Raw genomic sequence first — 20,332 nt, 5'->3', positions numbered from 1 at the left:
ACTTCTAGGAAGCTAGCCTATGAAGGTTTCTGCTGAAGGATGTTTATCACAGTATTATTTATAATGTGAAAAAGCCAAAGAGGAGACCTAAAATGTTTCAAAGATGAAAATGGTTTGATAAAATTATTTTTTTTTTGAGACAAGGTCTCACTCTTGCCCAGGCTGGGGTGCAGTGGTGCAATCTCGGCTTACCACAACCTCCACCTTCCAGATTCAAGCACTTCTCCTGCCTCAGCCTCCCAAGTAGCTGGGAATACAGGCACACCCCACCATGCCTGGCTATTTTTTTGTATTTTAGTAGAGATGGGGTTTCACCGTGTTGGCTAGGCTGGTGTCAAACTCCTGAGCTCAGGCAATCCACCTTCCTCAGATTCCCAAAATGCTGGGATTACAGGTGTGAGACACCGTGCCTGGCGATAAACAACATATTTAAACTCTAAAATGTTATGCAAGCATTCCAGGCATGCTTTGGAAAAACTATTAATCCCACAAAAGATGCTTATGTAATTATATAGACTAACAGACCAAGATTCTCCAGGACACTTACTTTGTTAAGTGTCTGAAGTAAAATGCAATGCTGTATATAAAATGTGACCTGAAGTCAGGTCCCAGTCTTTTCATCTGGAAAATTCTGTTAATTATACTGCCCTTCCCCTTTATAGGTTTTCTGTAGGAGTTAAAATACACTTTTTCAATTGCTTGACATAATGCTCAACACTGGTAGGGGAGCTAAAAATGTCAGCTATTGTCCTATGTGCCAAAAAAAAAACCACACAGACAGACACACACACACACACAAAGACACACATGGAGGGAGAGGAAGTAAAGATTAGAAAGCAGCACATAGTGTATCGGTAGGCAATGGGACCACTAGTGATTTTCATATTCTTTTTTATTTTCTTCTTTATACTGCTTACATTTTCAGTGTTATATAATGAGCATGTATTACTTCTGTAATCAGAAGAAGGTGGTATAAACCTGACCTTAATATAATAAAACAAAATTACTGGCCAGGCACAGTGTCTCATGCCTGTAATCCTAGCACTTTGGAAGGCTGAGACTGGTAAATCTCTTGAGCTCAAGAATTTGAGACCAGCCTGAGCTCAGTGAGACAGTGAGACCTCGTCTCTGGAAAAAATACAAAAATTAGCCAATGATAGTGGTATACACCTGTAGTCCTAAGTTACCTGGGAAGCTGAGGTGGGAGGGTGGCTTGAGCCCAGGAAGTGGCTGCAGTGAGCTGTGACTGCACCACTGCACTTCAGCCTGGGTGAAAAAGCCAGACCCAGTCTCATACAAAAATAAAAACAAACAAACAAACAAAAAAGTTATTACTTAAATCTCACATGCTATCTTGGAGCCGTCTCAGTGTTGAGGGAGTCAAGAGACTGGAGAGACCAATGGGTGAGACAGGAGGATTTTATTAAAGTGACCACTTGCCCAGTGGATTTGCATCCAAAAGGCTGAGCCCGGAAAAAAGATGGGGCCTGTTTTTTAAGCATGCAGCTTTGCAAAACTTACAGGGCAGGCTTAGCAAGCTTACAGAAGCAGAACAAAGGCAGTTAATCAAACAGTGACAAGTGTATGACTCAAACATGTCTGGTGACCTCTGCTGGGCCACCCAGCAGGCTCTCAGCAGATGGCAACTGTTTTAGGCTTGCACAGGCATGTCTTGTGACCTTCTCAGGGTCACACCGATGGAAAACAGGAACTTAAAAAATCCTTACAAACTTACAGAAATAGTTACAAAAATAGTTATGAGAGCAGAGCAAAGAAATATTGGCCTGGGAAAGAATCTCAAAGGGGGAAGCTGATAAGAACTTGTTTTTCTCATCCCTGTTCCTGGAGTCCATTCCTTCTGGGCTCTTCTGGCCTTGTATATAAAGTTATCTTAGTCCTAGCAGGGCCTTGGACTGAGTCAGCCTGGAACAGGCCAGAACTTAGGTTTTTCTCTTTTTAATTTCTGCTTTAGTAGGCCAAGGTTCTGATTGTCACTGCTGAGAAAGTAAGGTGTGTTCAGGCTGCCCATGGTTCTGGGCTCCCCCACGTCTCTGAGGAGGGCTGTCCCCTCCATCACAGAGAATATCAGGACACTAGCCTGTTCCTAGTTATACTTATACACTCCTCTCATGTTGTCTGTGGAGTGGATGCTGCAGGGAGGGTGACATCCCAGTTAGTCCTAAGAGCCAGACTGCCTGAAGCTCACTGTAACAAGTCCTGCCTTGAGGAAGAAGGAAGTTTGCCTCTGTGAACCTCCCACCTGGGCCGAAGGGAAGCCACTCTCTCTGCTGCCTCTCCCCAACCTTTTCCTTCTGTGGTCCTAGTGAACCTCTCACCCCCTGCCTACAGGCCTGGAATCTCAAGACCATGATGACCTCTCATCACTCCTGAATCCAGAGCTTTCCCTTTACAAAGGGGAAACTGAGACCTGGAGCAGGGCTGATGTTCAGCCAGCGCACAAGGGAATGGCTGAATTGGTGGTAAAATACTGAAATAGTTCCAGTGTGGATGGAAAGGGGCCACTGCCCTGAGCATCTCTACTGCCCACCTCATCCCTTCCTCCAGGACCCTGGGTCAGCACCAGGAGTGTCAAAGTGGCCAGGATTGGCCGGAGCCCATGCTAATGGCTCTGCCAGCCCTTCTCCCCACCAGAGAGGGCAGGGGGATTCAGGCCCTCTAGAGGTAGCATTGTGACCGTGTCTGCAGTAGTCAATCCTTGTGTGCCACAGTCCCTGACTTTGTTGATAAGGGCATCAGCCTACATCCCTCTGGTACTCAGTGATAAGCATCTAAAATCTTCTTAAAGAAAAAATTTAAAAAGCTTTCAAAATATACGACTTAACATATGAGGCTGCATAAATATCTTTTTAGCAGTTGTCCAACTGGTGCTTCTGGTTCTGCCTCCCCAGAAAGTGGATGACCGGGCCACCCTCCACCACTGCCCTGTAAGACCATGGGACACACAGGCCACCAGTTCTTTTCATGTGGTCATCCCCTGTTAGATGGGAGAAAATACACCTGCCTCATTTTTGTACCTTCTGTGTGAACATTCCACGGCAGAGCTTCACTAAATGTGTGATGAAGAATTGAATGAATGAATGAATATGAGAGAAAATGAATAAATGGTTCAGATCCTGGGCTGGAAGGCTGTGTATGAGGATGGTGGGTAGAGGAGGGTCTGTTTTTCTTGCCTTTAAGTCACTAATTGTCACTTTGGGGCAGGAGCACAGGCTTTGAATGCAGACCGACTGGACTTTAATTCTGGCTTTACTAGTTGTGATTGTGTGACCTTGTGCAAGTTACTTAAACCCTCTGTGCCTGTTTCTTTATCTGTAAAATGGAGATAATAAGATGTCAAAGGACTGTGGTAAGAATTAAATGCTTTAAAAAAATCGCAGTTTGTATTAAGTCCTCAATAGATTGGGTTTAGCATCATGAGTGCATGTGTTTCTGGAGCAATGCTCATCTTGGGCTGCATGGTGCCTACACAGAGAAAGACTCTGGCCTCTTCTCATCCACATGTATCTGTCTTATGCCTGGTTCCCATTCCCAGATCCTTGGAAGATCCATATTGCTGAAACGGTGAAGGGTGATGGGCACCTCAGGACAACTAAGCTGCTCCCCAAACATCTTCCCCCTCCCAAACTCTCCTGTGGTCTTTCGCATTTAACAGGAATCTCTGGACACTCCAAGGGTTGATCCTCTCATGGAAGACCAGTGGGGAGGAGGCTGCGGGAAAGGTCAGGCACTGTGCACTTCCCTGACAGCTGCAAATGGTTGTTTCCAAGCCCACTGGTCACTACAAATAAGGCAAGTTATATGACATCATAATGTGATTCTTTGGTGCCTCAGTCCACACTGGCACTTTAATATTCCTAGAGTGGATTGCATGGTGGTCTATCAAAAGATATGTCTACCTGGAACATGTGAATGTGCCTTTATTTGGAAAACAATCTGCAGATGTAATTAAATCCAGCACCTTGAGATGATTAGGATGGGCCCTAAATCCAATGACAAGTATCCTTATAAGAAAAGCGGCAGGTAGGGCACAGTGGCTCACACATATAATCCCACCACTGAGAGAGGTCAAGGTGAGAGGATCATTTGAACTGCAGGCTTTCAAGATCTGCCTGGGCAACATGGTGAGACCCTGTCTCTCCAAAATGTATGTAAAATATAATAGCCAGGCATGATGGCACCCGCCTGTAGTCCCAGCTACCAGCTACTTGGGAGGCTGAGATGAGAGGGTAGCTTGAATCTGGGAGGTTGAGGCTTCAGTAAGCTGTGTTCATGACGCTGCTCTCCAGCCTGGGGGAGCCTCTCCAGCCTGGGGGGCCCCTGGCCCCTCCACAACCTGCGCTAGAAGAGCTGGGCCCTGGCTCTGGCACCATGCAGCCTCTGAGGTGAGGCTGAGAGCCAGTTTCTGCCCTCCTGCGGCTGGGGACCAACACCCCTGACTTAGGCGTCGTGGAGGCTTCTGGCCCAAGGGTCCGCGCTGCTGGTGGCGCTGGCAGGGTCAGAATTTGCCACAGCTGCTGCTGCGCGCCTTGTGCAGGTTACCACTGCAGCTGAATCTACAGCAGAGGCAGGCAGGGCTGGTCCCAGACAGCCTGGGGGTCGCTGAGTGGACGGCCCTTTCACCCTAGAGTCAGCTCTTTCTTGTAGGTGCCCAGATCAGGGTGTGCAGGGGCTGGGCACAGGGCAGCCGCCAGGAAATGGCTGAGCTGCCGGTTCCCGCCCTCCTGAAGCTGGGGCCGGACCACCTGAATTGGCCGCTGGGCGGCGCCTGGCCCTGGAGTCCGCCTGGCTGGCGTGAAAGCGTGGTCTGGGTTTGCCATCAAGGCTGCTCCCCCGCCATGTGCAGGTGGCTGCTGCAGCTGAGCCCATGACGGAGGCTGGCAAGGCGTTTCCCAGGCAGCCTCAGGGTCATTGAGTGGACCACTATCCCACCCTAGGGTTCTCTGTTCCTTTGCCTGAGCCCAGAGTTCCGGGTCGCGGGCACTGGGAACTGTGCAGCCAAGGAGACTGGGCCGAGGGCAAAGGTTTCTGCCCTGCTGCAGCTGCGGGGCTGACTGCCTGAATTAGGCGCTGAGGCTGCGTTGTCCCCGGTGTCAGGGCTCTGGTGCAGGCAAAGTGCCGGGTTGCTCTGCTGCTGTCGTGCCCTTGTACAGGTGGCAGCTGCAGCTGAGCTCTCAGTAGAGGTCGGCAGGGTTTGTCCCAGAAAGCCTGAGGATCGCGGTGTGCACCACCCTCCCAGCCTAGGGTGCACTCTTCCTTGGCACGCGCCCAGAGCTCGGGGTTTCGGGCGCTGGGCCCTGTGCAGCTGTCCAGAATAGGCTGTGCGGCTGGTTCCCGCCCTGGCAAGGCATCCAGCCATGGAATCTGCACTGCTGTTGGGGGCAGGCAAGGTCGGGGGATGGGGGTGTGGTTTCCACCATTGCTAACGGGCGCCACCTGGCGATGGTAGCTGCAGCTGAGAGCATGGCAGAGGCTGGCAGGGCTGGTCCCAGACACCCTGAGGGTCGCTGAGTGCACCGCCCTACCACCCTAGAGTCTCCTGTTCCTTAGACTGCTCCCAGGACGTGGTGTGCGAGCGCTAGACACTGAGCAGCCTCCAGGATGGGGCTGAGCGGCCGATTCCCGCCTTGCCGCAGCTACAGTCTGAATTAGGCGCCACCGCATTATCTGGCCCTGGGGTTCGTGCTACTGGTGGCATGGACAGAGATGGGGGCTGCCACAGCTGCTATGGGGCTGAGCAGCCGATTCCCGCCCTCTTGCAGCTATGGGACCGGCCACCTGACTTAGGTGCCTTGGAGGCGTCCGGCCCTGGGGTCTTTGCTGCTTGTGTCTGAGGGCAGGGTCAGGGCTGCCACTGCTACTGCCGTGCACCATGCACAGGCGCCAGCTGCAGCTGAGCCCAAGGCAGATGCTGGCAGGGCTGGCCTGAGGCTGCCCAAGGGTGGGTGAGTGCACCGCCTTTCCACCCTAGGGTCCGTTATTCCTAGACCAGCGCCCAGATTGCGGGGTCGTGGGCGTTGGACACTGTGCAGCCATGAGGATCTGGTTGGGCGGAGATTCCTGCCCTCCTGCTGCTGAGAGGCCAACCTCCTAACACGCGCTGCAGTGACTTCTGGCTCTACAGTCTGCGCTCCTGCTGGAGCTGGCAGAGACCAGAGCTGCCACCGCTGCTGCTTCCAGGAGTGTGCAGGTGGCAGCTGCCGCTGAGCCCGCGGCGGAGGATGGCAGGGCTTGTTCCAGAAGGCTTGAGGGTCCCCGAGTGCACCGCCCTCCCACCGTAAGGTCCAGTCTTCCTCGTCCGCGCCCAGAGAGTGGGATTACAGGCGCTGAGCACAGTGCAAGCGCTGGGATGGGGCTGAGCTGCAGGTTTCCTCCCTCTGGCTGCTGGGGGGCCGACCGTCTGAGTTAGGGGACGCGGCGGCTTTTGGTCATGGGGTCTGCACTGCCGGTGGCTTGCACAGGGTCGGGGGCTGCCACAGCTGCTATAGTTCACCGTGTGCACGTGGCAGCCGTCTCTGAGCCCACCGCTGAGGCTGCAGGGCTGGCCCGGTCCCAGACGGCCTGAGGGTCATTTGCCCGCGCCCAGAGCACCGGGTGGCGGGAGCTGGGCACTGTGCAGCCTCCAGGAATCCGCTGAAGGGCGGGTTGCAGCTCTCCTGCAGCTGTGGGCCGACTGCCTGACTTTGGCCACTAGGTGGCCTCTGGCTCTAGGGTTTCGGGGCCGCTGGTGTCGGCGGGCAGAGTCCGGGTTTGCCACCGCTGCCCACAGGCTCACCATGGCCTGACTAAATGCTCGCACTGCTCATACATCCACTTTTAAAAATTGGGTTGAACATGAGAACATAATCATTCATATTTTATCCATTTGCATGTATTCAATAACATCCTTTCGCTGTTCTTGTCTCTGCAGCCTTTTTCTTTAAAGAATGAATGTTTCCATGTTTTACATCCACAGAATTTCTGGTTTTTCCTGTTGGAGCCCAAGGAGCAAGGGCAGAATGAGGAACATGATGTTTCTTACCGACAGTTACTCATGACGTCTCCATCCAGGACTGAGGGGGGCATCCTTCTCCATCTAGGACTGGGGGCATCCTTCTCCATCCAGTATTGGGGGTCTTCCTCCTCCATCCAGGACTTGGGGGTCATCCTCCTCCATCCAGGACCTGAGGGGTGTCCTTTTCTGCGCTTCCTTGGATGGCAGTCTTTCCCTTCATGTTTATAGTGACTTACCATTAAATCACTGTGCCGTTTTTTCCTAAAATATATGGGGTGTGTTTTTTGTTCTCACTTCTGTTAGTCCTTTGGTCCCTAGCTCCAGTTTTTTTGTAATTTCTTTTGCAACCTAATATGAGTCCCATTTAGTAAGTATTACATATACTAGGAAATGATGTATATTCAGCATTTGTTGTGATTTTAAAATCTTTTATAAACACATAACATTTTTGTCTATTTCCCATTTAAATTCAGAAGTATGAGTTCCCGCGTCCCTCTCTAGACCTGCTCTTCCTGTTAGTTTCTTTGTATGTCCTGGAGGCGAGGCCAGCATTGGACTTGACGTTGCTTCACCTACTCGGTTCTATGGTCCCTCCATGTGCAGTGTCTATCCTGTTGTTCATTATTTCTTCCTTAAATTTTACTTGAACTAAAATTAATTTTGTGGTAGCAGCTTGCTTTCTGTGAATATTTACTTAAAATTTTTATTCCCATTATTTTTCTTTCTTGAATTTGAAAGTGCTGCTTTGTTACTGATATTTTGTATTTTAATATATGAGGTTAATCCTTCTATGTTTGGTAGGAAAAAGTGATATATTTGAACTTATTTCTAGCATTTGATTTTGGATTTTGTATCCCAAAGCTTTATCCTCAATTCTCTTTTCCTTTCTTCAGATTTCTTTTCTTTTCTTTTTTTGGGGGGGTGGGGGATGGAGTTTTGCTCTTATTGCCTAGGCTGGAGTGCAATGGGGTGATCTCGGCTCACCACAACCTCTGCCTCTCAGGTTCACGCGATTCTTCTGCCATAGCCTCCGAGTAGCTGGGATTACAAGCATGTGCCGCCACACCTGGCTAATTTTGTATTTTTGGTACAGACAGAATTTCTCGAACTCCCGACCTCAGGTGATCCACCCACCTTGGTCTCCCAAAGTGCTGGGATTACAGGCATAAGCCACCGCGCCCGGACTTCCAGATTTATTTTCAATCAGCATTTCATTTTCCACTTCCTTCCTATGCTGGCTTTTAGGTTTTCCAGGCTATTTACCTTTAGTGTCAAAAATTATTTTGGGAACTTTTGAGTTGTCAACCAATATTGTAAGCATATTGGATATTGCTGTTTTTCTCCCAGTGCTCTGGTTATAATCTCTCCTATTAATACCTTGTAGCCTTATTGTCGTAGTTATTTTTTTCTATTAATTTCTGAGATATAAGAATTAGAATTGTCAAATTGTGGATTTATGCATTTATCCTTTTAATTCAATAACTTTTGCTTCGTGTATTTTGTTATTTTTCTTAGGTGCATACATGCTTATGCTTATTAGGTTTTCTAAGCAAATGGACTTATTGCATAAAACATCCTTCTTTATCCCTGTTGATGCTTGTCTTTCTTGTAGTCTGTCTTATCTGCCATTAATACACTGGCTGCAGTTTTTGATAACAAAGATTTGCATGGTGTATATTTGTCCATCTTTTCAGTTTGAATCTATTTGTATCTTTACCTCATAAGTGTATATCGTTTTAAAAGCTGATATTGAGGTTTCCTTTTTACCTACTTTGACAGTCTCTGTTCTGCCTTCCTGGTCTTCTTCTGGATTATTGTAGTTTTCATTTGTTTGTTTGTTTGTTTTATGGGGTTTTCTTTTTTTTTTTAGTATGGATTTTGTATCTTGTGTTTTTCTTAACTATGACTCTTTGTTTCATTTATTTATTTTTAGTGAGTTCTTTAGAAATTAAAATAAAAATACTTAAAGTATATTAAATATCATAACACTGTATATAAAATATAAAAACCTTACCTTACCCTCCTCCCTTCTCTCATCTTTTGTGCCATGTTGTCATAGATTTTTCTTCTGCACATGTTGTAATTCCTGGAGGATGTCATTAAAACAGCAGTTTCCCCTCCACATGTTTACTATTTTTGGCACACTTTCATCTTTTCTGAGAACTAGAATTTCCAATTGTTATCATTTTTCTTCAAGCTGAACAGCTTTCTTTTGCATTTATTGTGGTTTGGGTGTGATGGCAACACATTCTCTCAGACTTTCTTTAATTGAAAATGTACTTTTCTCAACTTCAGTTCTGAATGCTGCTTCAGCAGGTTCAGAATTCTAGGGACACCTTCGACTTTGAACAGCATGAAGTCTCTGCTCAGCAGTGCTCTAGTCACCATCTAACATATTATTATATCCAGTTGTGTCAAATCTGTCATCGGCCATAGAACCCTTTAACAGGTGCTTCTTGTTGCTTCAGTTCTAAGTATTTCATAGTCTTCAGAGATATGGAGAAGTAGCAGTGCTAGTAACACTACCAGTAAAACCAGGATAAGCCCTAAAATAATTAAGCCATCGCATGCACACACATGAACGTTTGACTTCAGCTAAAATGCTTTCAAGTGTACTATTTTATCTTTACACAAGGTTATAATACAAATTAAAATTTTAAAAATATTTCCACTTTATATATGTGAAAACTGCAGCTCAAAGAATTTAAAAGACATGATTGAAATCCCATAACTAGGTAAAGATGGTCAAGTCTGGAGCCCACATGTCGCGGTCCCCCCACACCCTGTTACGGAGAGTGCGAGGCTTCACCAGGAAGCTCTTTTGGCTCAAGGATTAGCTCTGGGGAAGTGCAGCAGGCAGGCCTGCTTTGCATCCTTTTACCAGCAGAAATCCTACGTTTGTTTCAAGTTTCTAGTTCTTTTTGTTTTGTTTTGTTTCTTACCAGCATGGCTCTGGGAGTTATTTACACAATTTAATTTTAAAAGAGACAGTCCCCATCACTAAGGTTCCTTGGAAACTTATCATGCAAAAAAAATAATAATAATAAATGCTGGTAGATGGGAAACTTCTGCAAAATTGTTTTTTATATATATAATTGTAACTAAATAAATATGTGTATTATAGTAATAATTTATTACTGTAATTTTCTTGCCAGATTTGAAGGCAATTTTTTAAAGCTCTCCACATGTGGTTTACTGTGGACCAAACACTGGCAGCTTCAGGCTTACAATCTGCTGACAAACTCTTCTTAGTTCCTTCAATTGAAGAATGTGAGCATGCACTGCTCATGTGCCTGGCAAGCAGGCAAACCACTCAGGAGAAGGACAGTGGCCACTCAGGTCATCAGGTGAACTTGTGACGGGGCCATCAAGAGGCTGCACGTGAGCTCCAGAAAATGAAATTCCCACTATCAACCTATTTTCCATTTCCGCCCAATGCCCCGCCCCTGCTCCAAATCAAGGTCTCCGCCTCTTAGAAATGCTTGATTTTCAGTATTGCTAAACAGGGATCGAAGAAAACAAACTGAACAAAGAAACAAATAAAGCCTTTAACACAGTGAGCAAAGACACAGCACCTACGCCTTCCCCGGGCCCCGCAACAGCTCCAGAGCTGCACAGCTGCTCCCAGAGCCTGAGCATGGACCTGAGCTCTGGCTCATGGATCTCACCAATGCATTTCTTCCCTCTGTGTCAAAAAAGCATCCAGAAATTGGATTCATTTACTTGGGACATAAAATAATGTATACCTACAGTTTTGTCCCAGAACTGTGTAAACCAGCATGCTGTCTGCCATAATACAGTCCTCCCCCTGCATCAGGAGCACAGATGGGGGAAACCGGCGGGGCTGGAGGGGAGAGAAAAGCACCACAGAGAGCCAGGCCCTGCCTACAAATCCCATTTTTAGGGGTCTAGTGGTCTGTGCAGGCTGGGAGATGATCTCTAAAGGAAAGGCAAGAAATATTGCCCCACATCTCCCACCACCAAACAGAAAGTGCAGGTGGTCAGCCCCAGGGCTCACCTGCCCTTTGCCAGGGTCATGAGCTAGGCCCAGGCTGCGCACTCCACAAAACCATCAAGGGGACGACTGCCTGCCAGGCTGGGACAACTGCACCAGGCCCTGACATCCTGGGAAGAACAGGGTTGCATTTAACAGAAACAACTAAACCTGCAGGGATGAGCTTGCCTTTCCCCGGGGCCACGGGATGGTTTATAGAAAGTTCTGCCCATCAGGACGAGACCTCACATGACACCATCAGAGGAACTGATACCATGCCACAGAGGGAGGAAGACGGCACATGCCATAGGTCCGCTGGTCACAGCACACACACGCTCCTGGGAACTTCAGAGCCAGCAGTGTGGCTCAGGTGCCAGGTCAGGATGTGGGAGGACACAGTGTCTGGGTGAATCTGTCACCTTTGCTAGCTGCCTGGTCCCACCAGGTAGAAGATGTGGCAATGGGAGCACAGCAGTAGGAAGCCCAGTGTCCCCCAACCTTCCACCTCACACCCAGGACCTCTGAGGTGCATCTATGTCCTGCACATCTAGGCTCTGAAAAGCAGGAGGTCCTGGTTTCCACAGCTGTGGGGCTTCTAGACAGGACAGAGCCAGGTTCTCTAAAAAAAACAAGCTCTGGGTGCTGCTTTGTTCTCAGGCTGCTCCTCCATGGGACCTGCGGGCAGAAAGATGTGTACCACCTGGACCATGGTGTCAGCAGGAGCAGGGCTGTGCTGCCTGGGGAAGAAGGGGCTCTACGCAAGCGCCTCTCAGTACACAGCATTTGATGGTACCTGGACAAGTGCGGGAGCCCTAGACCAAGGACTCAGTGGTGAGCAAGACTCAGGACCCCTTAGGGGCGAGGGCCTGGGTTACACCACCAGGGGGTCACCTGGACCCTCAGCAGAAGGTGAAGGGGTGATCATTACCTTTGCGACCCTGAAATGGGTGGCAGCCACAGGACACAGGGTTCATTGAACCCACCTTGTGTAACTATTGCCCAGGAAAAGGCCCAGAATTTAATAAAGACAAGGCCCCTGGCAGTGCAGTGTTGGATGGGGCGCACCCCCTGGGGCACCCCTGACCCTCCCCCAGGGCCTTGGCTCTGAGCTTTGATTATAGACACACGTATGCCATGGCCCCTTCAGACTGCTCCCTTCACCTTTGAAAAACCAGACAGGATGCTTCTGTTCCTGGAAACACGAATGCCCTTCATGTGTTTTTTTCTTTGACTAGAAACTCAACTTCAACCAAAATATAGACTCCCACACAATAATAATGGGAGTCTTTAACATCCCACTGTGAACATTAGGCAGATCAATGAGTCAGAAAGTTAACAAGGATATCCAGGAATTGAACTCAGCTCTGCACCAAGCAGACCTAATAGACATCTACAGAACTCTCCACCAAAATCAACAGAATATACATTTTTTTCAGCACCACACCACACCTATTCCAAAACTGACCACATAGTTGGAAGTAAAGCACTCCTCAGCAAATGTAAAAGAACAGAAATTATAACAAACTGTCTCTCAGACCACAGTGCACTCAAATTAGAACTCAGGATTAAGAAACTCACTCAAAACCGCTCAACTACATGGAAACCGAACAACCTGCTCCTCAATGACTACTGGGTACATAACGAAACGAAGACAGAAATAAAGATGTTCTTTGAAACCAATGAGAACAAAGACACAACATACCAGAATCTCTGGGACACATTTAAAGCAGTGTGGAGAGGGAAATTTATAGCACTAGATGCCCACAAGAGAAAGCAGGAAAGATCTAAAATTGACACCCTAACATCACAATTAAAAGAACTAGAGAAGCAAGAGCAAACACATTCAAAAGCTAGCAGAAGGCAAGAAATAAGTAAGATCAGAGCAGAACTGAAGGAAATAGAGACACAAAAAACCCTTCAAAAAAATCAATGAATCCAGGAGCTGGTTTTTTGAAAAGGTCAACAATATTGATAGACCGCTAGCAAGACTAATAAAGAAGAAAAGAGAGAAGAATCAAATAGATGCAATAAAAATAGATAAAGGGGATATCACCACCGATCCCACAGAAATACCAGCTATCATCAGAGAATACTATAAGCACCTCTACGCAAATAAACTAGAAAATCTGGAAGAAATGGATAAATTCCTTGACACATACACCCTCCCAAGACTAAACCAGGAAGAAGCTGAATCTCTGAAGAGACCGATAACAGGCTCTGAAATTGAGGCAATAATTAATAGCCTCTCCCTGGGAATGGGCGGGCCTGGGTCCAGTCCACAGGGCCCCTCGCGGGCCCTGACGCAGGATGGAGTTGAGGTGGGGGCAGCGCTGGACCCCAGGGCCCCTGCCTGCCTCCTGGGGAGCCCGGTGACCCAGGCAGCCCTGGTGAGGCTGTGGGTGTCTGGGCCATAGCGAGGCCCCCGGGCTCCCACAGGACAGATGCGGACAGTGAGGCCGGGGAGGCCCTGCTGCCCTCCGGACTGTCCCTCCAGCCCCCAGCTTTCTGTGGTTCTCTGGACCCCCTCTGCAGAGGGGCAGGGGAGCACACCCTGGATCCTGAGACGCCAAGCTTGAGGAACCCCAGAGCTCTAGCGAGGCTGCTTGCTTTGCGGATGGTGGAACTGAGGTCCAGAGGAGGGCAGGGGCAGGTCCCGGGTGCTCCCTAGGCAAAGGGAGCCGATCTCGGGGAGGGGGTCACAGGGAGCGTCCCTGCGACTTCTAGGGCCCGAAAGCTGGGGAGGATGAGAGACCAGGGGTCTTTCGTCGCCCCCTGGGGCTGGGCAGAGGCTCAGCCTGTGTTGCCACCCAAAGCTGCTTCTGGCAAGTCCGAGCCGCGTCCCTTTAAGAGGGGGTGGAGCTTCAACCTGGCACGAGGGATGCTGCCAGCGTGCGTGTCCCTACGGAAGCTGAGACTGCACTTCCTGCGAGGCCCCTGCAGCAGCAGCGGCGTGGTCAGAGCGAGCTTCGGAGAAGCAGTGGTGGGTTCCATGTGATGGTGGAGTAGGAGGCAGGTCTCCGCGGTAAGTGGCGGGGGCGTGGACCCCACCGGGAACCCTCCCGGCTCCTTCCCTGCCTCTCCCTGTTTTCGTGCTTTCACTTCTTCGTGGGCATCTGGGCCCGAGTCCTCCGCGTGGGGGCGGTTGTGGGGTCCTGGCTACTGCAGCGTCCGCACCCCGGCCGGGAAGGCTATGCCAATGTCCGACCCGCGTCCAGCGTATAGGAGCGCCCTGGCCCAGAGCTGGCGGTGAAACGCCGGACCTGGGTCCCTCCGAGCCTCAGGGGCCTCTGAGCTGGAGTCTAGGATTATTTTTGATGCCTCAGCACCTTTAAAAAGAGACCTCGCTAGAGCAGGGGACATCTGTAGTTTCAGTTCTTTGAGGAGTCTCCAGCTATTTAGCTGTTTTCCATGGTGTGTATCCTAATTTTCATTTCCACCTACAGTGTATGAGTTTCCCTTTCTCCAAAACCATACCCGCATTCCTATTATTTTTGGTTTGGGGTTTGTTTTGTTTTTGTTTTGAGATGGAGTCTTGCTCTGTCTTCCAGGCTGGAGTGCAGTGGCGCCATCTCGGCAGACTGCAGCCTCTGCCTGGTTTTAAACAAGTCTCCTGTCTCGGCCTCCGGAGTAGCTGGGACTACAGGGGCCGCCACCATGCCCAGCTAATTTTTGTATTTTTAGTAGAGATGGGGTTTCACGATATTGGTCAGGCTGGTCTCAAACTCCTGACCTCAGGTGATCCACCTGCCTCGGCCTCGCAAAGTGCAGAGATTACAGGCATGAGACACCATTCCCAGCCCCTCTTATTTTTTAAATAAAAAATCTAGGAATATTCAATAAGTGTGAGATTATCTGTGTGTGGTTTTGAATTACAGTTTTCTAATGAATAGTTTATTTTGAGGACCTTATCTCTTATTTGTTGTTCGATTTTATGGCTGTGCAGAATTGTCTGTTCAGGTTCTTTGCAAAATATTAGATTGGATGCTTTTGCTACTTTGTAGTGTTTTTTGTGTACATGTTAGATGACAACTCCTCGTGAATTACATGATTGCCTGAAATTTTTGCCTAATCTATAGGATGCTTTTTAATTTGGAAAGTAGTTTTCTTTGATGTGCAGAAACTTTTCATGTTGACATAGTCCCATATATTTATTTTTGCGTTTCATGCATGTAATTTTTGTCACCCATATAAGAAAATATATATCAGTGACAAAGCATTTAATTGTCAATGAGGTTTTTCTTCTAGGGTGTTTGTTTATTTTCCTCTTTGCAAAGGTGAGCAGAGATTCAAGTGACCCAAAATATATGCTCATCCTGTGTTTTAGTTAAAAACATTTTGTGGTTTATGGTCTTTTGTTTTGCCTTCAATTTGGGGGAGGGGGTGTTCATTTTCATACATCGTGTAAAATAAGGTCCTATTTCTCACTTCTGCATCTGAATATCATTTTTCTCAAAGGTACTCATTCTCTGCCTTCCACATTGCAGTGTTCTTTATCAAAGTCAGTTGACTGTGTCCATATTTGTGTTGATCATGTTTTTGTTCTCCCTGTTTTTGTCCATAGTTTATGCAAGTATCATATATCAGCTGTATAACTACAACTTGGCAGTGTAATTTGATATTGAGGATTGTGGGTCTTCACTTTGTATTTCTGAGGATTCCTTTAGATATTCATTGCTTTTGTGGTTCCCTGTGATTTTTAGCAATACCTATTTATTTCTATTAACTTTTTTTCACAACATAAAGGTCCATAATTAGGGGTACATTTTCATACATATAGGTTGGGTAATGATCAAATCAGGGTACTTAGGATCTCTATTTGCTCGTCCAGGCATTTTTTTTTTTTTTTTTTTTTGTGGGGAGAACATTCAAAATTCTCCCTTCTTGCTCTAGAAAAATATGATATTGTTTACTCCAGTCACCAGGCTGAGGAGGAGAACTTCAGATTTATTCCTTTAATGTTAAGATAACTTTGTTTCCATAATCAATCCTTCCCCATTCCCCCTCTATCTCCCAAACTCTGGTAACCAATATTGTGCTTTCTACTTCATTAAGATAAACATCTTAAGATTTCACGAGTGGTATCATGCAGTGTTTGTCTTTCTAGGCCTAGCTCATTACATTTAACATAATGTGTTCCAGGTTCATCTGTGTTGCTCTAAATGACACTGTTTCATTATTTTGATGGCTGGAGAATATTTCCTAGTGTATGTATATGAGAGTTTCTTGATCTCTTTATCTGTGGATGAACAGGTAGGTTGAATTTATACCCAGTAATGGGACTGCTAGATGATATGGTATTTCTTTTTTTCCTATTCTTTGCAAGACCTCCAACTGTTTTTTATAGTGTTAATACTAATTTATGTTTCCACAAACAGTTCCCCTTTCTGGAAATTCATACCAGGAATTGTCTTTTTAAATATTTTGATCTTTTTGTAATGTTCATTCTATTGGAGTGAGATAAGATCTGAGTGTGGTTTTGATCTGCATTTTTCTCGTGAGTAGTAATGTTAACCACGTTTTTGTAGACATTGGGTCAGTTTCCTGTCTTCTTTAGAAAAATATCTAATCCGGTTATTTGCCCAGTTTTTGTCTGGCAATTGTTCTGTTTTTTTTTTTTTTTTTTTTTTTTTTTTTTTTTGCCAGCTGGTAGTATGACTCGCTTGTACCTTTTCAAAAATAATCCCTTATCCCAAACTTGTAATTTTTAGTGTGACTTTTTATTTTCTTTATTGTTTCCTTTGTTGGGCACAAACGCTTCAGCTTGACGTGGTCCCACATGTGCATAATTTCTTGGTGGCTGTGCTGTTGGTTACTAATCAAGAAAAAACAAAATCACAAATCACTACCAAAGCAGTTCATTGTCAATAATTTTTTTCCCTTGTATTTTTGTTTACTTTTTGCGAACCCTAAGCATACATCCAAGTTGCCCTAAATATACGCACACCTGAGGTTGTCTTTATAGGAGCTTTATGGTTGCAAGTTTTGTGTATAATCTTTAATCATTTTGAGTTGATTATTGTGTATCTAGTACCATAAGAGTCCTGTATTATTCTTTTGCATATGGATATCTAGTTTTGGAAATCTTCCCCGTTGTGTCATTTTGGTGGTGTTTTGAAAAATGTGTTCATTCCATATAAATTTTTGTTTATTATCGAGCACATTCATTTTGCTCACTGGTCTGTGTTTCTCTGTGTATGCCAGTAACGTATGGGTTTGTTAACTACAGATTTTCATTTAATTAGAACTCAGGGAATGTGACACATCCCATATGGTTTGTATTTCTCAGAATAACTTTGGAAATTCAGGGTGTTTCACATTTCCACATAAATTTTGGCATTGTTTCTTTATATTTCTTAAAACACTATTTGTCATATACTAAATGTATACAATTAAAAGGTACAAGGAAGATTTTGATACGTGTATATGTTGAGTAATGATAAAATCAGGTTATTTAGCATCTCTTCATCTCATATAGTTATTATTTTTGAGTGGTAACAACATTCAGAATCTTTCCTTCTAGCTACTTTGAAACATATGGTACATTTGTGTTAAGGCTAGTCACCCTGCTGTGGAATAGAAGGCCAGAATTGATCAGTCTCATCTGAGAGTAACTTTGTACCCATCACTGATTCCTTCTGAGACTGCCTCCACTTCCCCAGCAGCCTCTGGTAAGCCTTATTGAACTTTCCACTTCTAGAAGATAAAGCTTTCTTCAGTCTGCATGCCTGAGATCACGTGGCATGGGACTTTCTCTACCAGCCTTATTCTTTGAACCTCATGTTCTTCAGGTTTCTTCATGTGGCTGCAGATGGCAGGATTTCCCAAAGGTTTCTGGCTGAAACATATTCCGTGGTGTATCTGTACAGCAGTTTCCTCATCCCTGCAGCTGTGTTTGAACAGGTAGGTTGGTTCTCTACCTTGGCCACAGTTAAGAGTGCTTTAGTACCCGTGGGAAGGCAGATAGCTCTCTTCAACCTAGGGACTTCAACTGCTTTAAATGTGGAACCAGTGGTGGGGCTGTTAGCTGACATGGTAGTTGTACTGTGAATTTTTTCAGAAACCTCTAGCTGTTTTTTATAGTGTGTATACTAATTTACATCCTCACCAATAGTGTTTAAGAGGTTACCTTTCTGTAAGTCTACACTGGATGTCACCTTCAAAAATTTGTGTTTTGTTTTTGGTAGTACTCATTCTGAGTGGAATGAGACGGAATCTTAGTGTGGTTTTCATGGACATTTTTTTGTGAGGTTTAGTGATGTCGAGAAAGTTATTTGAGAAATCCCCACATTGCTTTCCATGGTGTCCGAACTAGTTTGCATTTCCACCAACAGCAGACCAGCATCCCTCCTCCTCTGCCTTGCTGGTGTTCATTCTTGTGGACTGTGTCATAATTGTCATTCATCAGAATGTGTGAAATACTATCTCATGGGCCTTTAGCTTTGCATTTCTCTGATGATTCCTGAGGTAAAGCAATGATATCTTGTCTGTTGGTTGCTGTAAACCTTCTTTTGAGATGCATGTTTTCATGCCCCTTACCCTTTCTTCATTGAGTTTTTGTTTTTCTGATTTATTTGCTTAATGTATTTGAGGTAGATCCTGGATATTAGACTTCATCAGATGCGTATGTGGGAACATTTTCTCCCATTGTGTAGGCTGTCTGTTTACTGTGTTGGTAATTGCTTCTGCTGTGCAGCAGCTCTTTTGTATATTAGGCCCCACTTGTCAATAATTGTTTTAGTTGCACTTGCTTTTGGGGACTTAGGCATAGCCATGCTCTGCCAAATCCTCTGTCAAGAAGGGTATTTCCAAGTTCTCTTGCAGGCTTTTCATAGTTTGAGGTCTTGTGTTTACATCTTTCATTCATCTTGAGTTAATTTCTGTGCAGGGTGAGACACAGGGGCCCACTGTTTTTCTTCTGCAACTGGCTAGCACTTTATCCTGGCACCATCTATTGAGAGGAGGGAGTCCTTTCTCCAAAGCTTATTTTTGTGGATTTTTTTGAAGATCAGATGGTGTTAGGGGTGTGGGTTTACATCTGGGTCCTCTAATCTGTTCCACTGCTCTGTGTGAAATGGGGTCCCTAGCTTTTCAATGAAAATTAAAATCGGGAAGTGTGACACAACCAATGTAGTGTGGACTTCTCAGGATTGCTTTAGAAATTCAGGGTGTTTTGTGGTCTGCATGAATTTTAGCATTGCATATTTACATATTTTTTAAAAGGTTGGCCATATAGTAAAGGTATACAATGGGGGGAGTTAGAGTGGGGCATTTTGGTTAATGCAGACACAGAGGAATGTTAAAATCAGGATATTTAGAGTCTCTGTTATCACAAACAGTTGTTAATTTATTTGTGGTGAAAACATTTGGAATCTTCTTTTCCAGATTTTGTGAAAAAGCTGTGATGTTTTGTTAACCTCTGGTCACAGTGCTGTGGAACAGAGAGGAACAATTCATTGCTCTCATCTAAGTGTAATTTTGTACCTATTTCTGATCCCTGCCCATGCCCCTGCTTCCTTCCAATCTCTGGAAACCACTGTTGTGCTCTCTAGATCTATTGCAATAAAGCCTTTTATTTTGGGTTCTACATGAGTGAGATGTGGCAATGTTTTTCTTTCTCTACCTGGTTCAGGTCATTTACCATGCTGTCCTCCAGGTTCAACAGTATGGCTCCAAAGGATGAAATTTCATTCTGATTTTCTGGCTGAAGACTATTCTCTTTGTGTATGTCCACCACAGTTACTTTATCCCTTCATCTGTGGATGGGCAGGTAAGTTTATTCCTTATCTTGGCGATTGTGAATAGTGCTGCAGTCCACATAGGATGGCTGATACCTCTTGCATAAACTGATTTCTTTGGCACTGAAAGTATACTTAGTAGTAGAATTGTTAGATGAAGTGGTAGTTGTAGGTTTAATTTTTGGAGGAACCTCCCACTGGTTTCTGTAGTATGTATACTAATTAACATTCTTTTTTTTTTGGATGGAGTCTCGCTGTATTGCCCAGGCTGGAGTGCAGTGGCATGATCTCAGCTCACTGCAAGCTCTGCTTCCTGGGTTCACGCCATTCTCCTGCCTCAGCCTCCTGAGTAGCTGGGATTACAGGCACCCGCCACCACGCCCAGGTAATTTTTTATACTTTTAGTAGAGACGGGGTTTCACCGTGTTAGCCGGGGTGGTCTCGATCTCCTGAACTCGTGATCTGCCGGCCTCGGCCTCCCAAAGTGCTGGGATTACAGGCGTGAGCCACCGTGCCCGGCTGTATACTAATTAACATTCTTACCAAATGAGTTTTTCTCTGGAAATTTCCACCAGCATTTGTGTCTCTTTT

General features: G+C 45.9%; 2 long non-coding RNA genes and 1 pseudogene across 5 annotated transcripts in view, besides 1 other annotated feature; all 3 read left to right on the top strand.

Moving 5' to 3' along the window:
- LINC01297 (long intergenic non-protein coding RNA 1297) overlaps positions 1–7,279 on the top strand; it is a 39,960-nt gene extending 32,681 nt beyond the window's left edge. The window contains exon 4 of the long non-coding RNA NR_164166.1: positions 6,974–7,279. This is a non-coding gene — a long non-coding RNA (long intergenic non-protein coding RNA 1297). The remainder of the gene's footprint in view (positions 1–6,973) is intronic.
- LINC01297-DUXAP10-NBEAP6 (LINC01297-DUXAP10-NBEAP6 readthrough) overlaps positions 1–20,332 on the top strand; it is a 115,486-nt gene that overhangs the window by 32,681 nt on the left and 62,473 nt on the right. Inside the window, exons 4-8 of one of the 3 annotated variants that reach the window (NR_164310.1) lie at positions 10,168–14,028; positions 17,560–17,674; positions 17,795–17,906; positions 19,636–19,773; positions 19,991–20,126. This is a non-coding gene — a long non-coding RNA (LINC01297-DUXAP10-NBEAP6 readthrough). Of the gene's footprint in view, positions 1–10,167; positions 14,029–17,526; positions 17,675–17,794; positions 17,907–19,635; positions 19,774–19,990; positions 20,127–20,332 lie in introns of all 3 variants that reach the window. The other 2 variants (NR_164309.1, NR_164308.1) reach the window with 2 other exon arrangements.
- Positions 7,357–7,557: a silencer, noted in NCBI's record as "peak2108 fragment used in MPRA reporter construct". NCBI's record gives its function as "represses an SCP1 promoter by STARR-seq MPRAs in K562 erythroleukemia cells {active_cell/tissue: K562}" and the evidence as "EXISTENCE:reporter gene assay evidence [ECO:0000049][PMID:32103011]".
- The window catches only part of DUXAP10 (double homeobox A pseudogene 10), a 42,890-nt pseudogene continuing 36,491 nt past the window's right edge, over positions 13,934–20,332 (top strand). Inside the window, exons 1-6 of the transcript NR_110526.1 lie at positions 13,934–14,028; positions 16,146–16,256; positions 17,527–17,674; positions 17,795–17,906; positions 19,636–19,773; positions 19,991–20,126. The product of NR_110526.1 is annotated as a double homeobox A pseudogene 10 (transcript). The remainder of the gene's footprint in view (positions 14,029–16,145; positions 16,257–17,526; positions 17,675–17,794; positions 17,907–19,635; positions 19,774–19,990; positions 20,127–20,332) is intronic.

This window comes from Homo sapiens, chromosome 14 (genome assembly GCF_000001405.40).
Source record: "Homo sapiens chromosome 14, GRCh38.p14 Primary Assembly".
Taxonomy (NCBI): domain Eukaryota; kingdom Metazoa; phylum Chordata; class Mammalia; order Primates; family Hominidae; genus Homo; species Homo sapiens.
This window is presented reverse-complemented; position numbering and strand designations above follow the sequence as displayed.